The sequence below is a fragment of the Homo sapiens genome, chromosome 4, assembly GCF_000001405.40.
Source record: "Homo sapiens chromosome 4, GRCh38.p14 Primary Assembly".
In the NCBI taxonomy this organism is placed as follows: domain Eukaryota; kingdom Metazoa; phylum Chordata; class Mammalia; order Primates; family Hominidae; genus Homo; species Homo sapiens.
The window spans coordinates 64226562-64229023 of record NC_000004.12 but is presented as its reverse complement, the minus strand read 5'-3'; positions in this window follow the sequence as shown (position 1 = coordinate 64229023).

Sequence of the window (2462 nt, the reverse complement as noted above, 5' to 3'; positions counted from 1 at the left end):
ACTCCCTTAGAAAACCCAGACTAGATTCTCTTTATGGATGGAAATGCTTTGTAGACAAAAAATTCTGTAAAGCAGGATATGCAGTAGTTCACCCTGAATGATATTATTAAGAATCTGCCTCTCTCACCAGGCACATGCGCTCAACCAGCTAAGCTAATTACTCTCACAAGGGTACTTGAATTAAGCATAGGAAAAGCAGTTAACATTTATATTGACTCTTAAGTGTGCTTTCTTAATCCTCTATGCCCATGCCACTATCTGGAAAGAGAGATCTTTCTTCATAGCTAATGGGTCTCCCCTTAAATACCACTAGGAATTTTACAGACTATTATCCTCAGTTTTCCTTCCATGGGAAGTGGCAGTAATACATTATAAGGACCACTAAAAGGTCTACCACCCTTACAAGCAGGCACCACAAACTCCAGGGTGGCCACAGTGCTTCTACATTCCTTTCATTTCAGCCCCTCCGTTTATACAATCTATAAGAAGTCTACCACTGGGGATGGGGGCCACACTCAAGAAAGCAAAGACCCCCTTTGCAATGTCAGAAATTATACATGTAGTAAAGAATTAAACTTTTTTATTACCACATTTACCACCGGAAGTATATCTTGCACTTCGGGCATATTTACTAGAAATGCTTTAAGAAGCCAAATACAATTTAAAAATACCATTTTCCTAAATGTTTCCGACACTTTTCTGAAAATGTAAGAGCAGTTCCAGAAATCCAACCATTCAAACTACTAGTCTGGTACAAAGACAGGGGGCCTACCCTCCCTGATAAGAGATAATTTCCCTAGTACTCCTCAATACCTTGTGTTCCCACCTGGATACAAACAACAACATGAAACACTGTATATCATAGGGCAGGGATCTTTACTTACAATTTTGATTCCTTCCCAGATTTTGCTTATCAAATGTTTAATGGAAGTAGATGTATTAAAACTTGTCAGAACAAAACAGTTTAGACAGTTAATGCCTACATTCAATATATGTGGGCAAATTCAGTTGATGGCAACTTAACAAACCACTTTGCCTTACAAAAAACAAGAGCATGGACTGGCAATTCTTGGTGTCCTTTATGAACTGGATCAAATGTCCCAAACTGTACATTCAGCCAGGACTTATGAAAGTGGGTGAATTTACTCAATAACACCACTACCATTTGTGGACCTCAGGGACTATGGTTCGTTTGTGCAGAACAGTAGCAAAAATTGTGGGCCTTGAATTTCCTAGACCTCACAGTGGTAAGAGGAATGTATTCACTGGGATGGGTGTTACCCGTGGAAGGTTCCCTACAAATATACCAGGATCTTCTCACAGTCCCTTCCCTTCAGGAATATACTTGACAGAAATAAAGAGTAGGTCTTACAGCCTTGGGTGTAATAACAGCAGTTACATCCACAGGCAGCTAGGTGAGAGAAATAGTTTACAATGCATATACAATCCAGAATGCATCAAGTTTAACTGAACAAAATGCTGAAGATCCTAGTCAAGGTCTTAAGGCCCTCAAACATCATTAGACTCACTTGTTAACCAGGTAATGGATAATACAATAGCCCTTGATTTTTCCTCAGCAGAAAAAGGAGGGCTATGTGCTGTAGCAAATACTTCTTGTTGCTTTTATGTTAACCCCTCAGGAGAGGTTAAGTTTAGAGCCAACCTGCTATTTCATAGTGCTAAATGACTCAGAGACACTAAGATCCATTTAGCTGGAGATATATGGAATGCCATTAAAGGGTATCTCCCTTCAATGTCATAGTTTCTCCCCTTAATAGGATCTCTGTAATGATTATGTTAGGTCTACTTTTTGGAACCTGCATATTAAACCGTCTTGTAAAATTTGTTTCTTTTCACCTAGTCATTAAATTTCAGATGGATCATGTAAGTGGAACAATGCATGAAGTCCTTTTTCTGAGGCCTTCTAGACTGCCCTCTGGAGGATCCCTGATTGCCACACAAACAACACTCTCTCACAGCTTGAATAAGCTAGAGTGGTCATCTCTCCTTATCCCCTAATGGCAGTTAGTGTCATCACTCCAGAGTGGAGAAGGAAAGTGGAGGCAGGTAGGGGCGGATTAGGCAGATAGAGAAGGAGGGTCTAGGGAGAAGGACAGAGAAAGGCAATGTTCATGCGAACAACCATGGGACAGCACTTACACCACCTCTGCAGCTAATAGGAAGAACTATGGTTAAGAACTTCCCCTTGTGCCAAGATGTTGCTCAAAAGGGACAGTCACAACTTAGGTACAGACACAATAAATCAACCGAAATGTCATTAACTTGACCCAGCTCATTATAAAGTCATTGGCATGATATTAGCATTGTGGTTTTAGCACCCTTATGGTTTTAACTTAGGCACTCCTGGGTAATAACCAAGATGAAGTCATTCTGGCCAATCGCAGGCATGCACAGATGTAATTCCTCTAGGAGGAAATTTTACCACTCCCATTTGGGCAGGA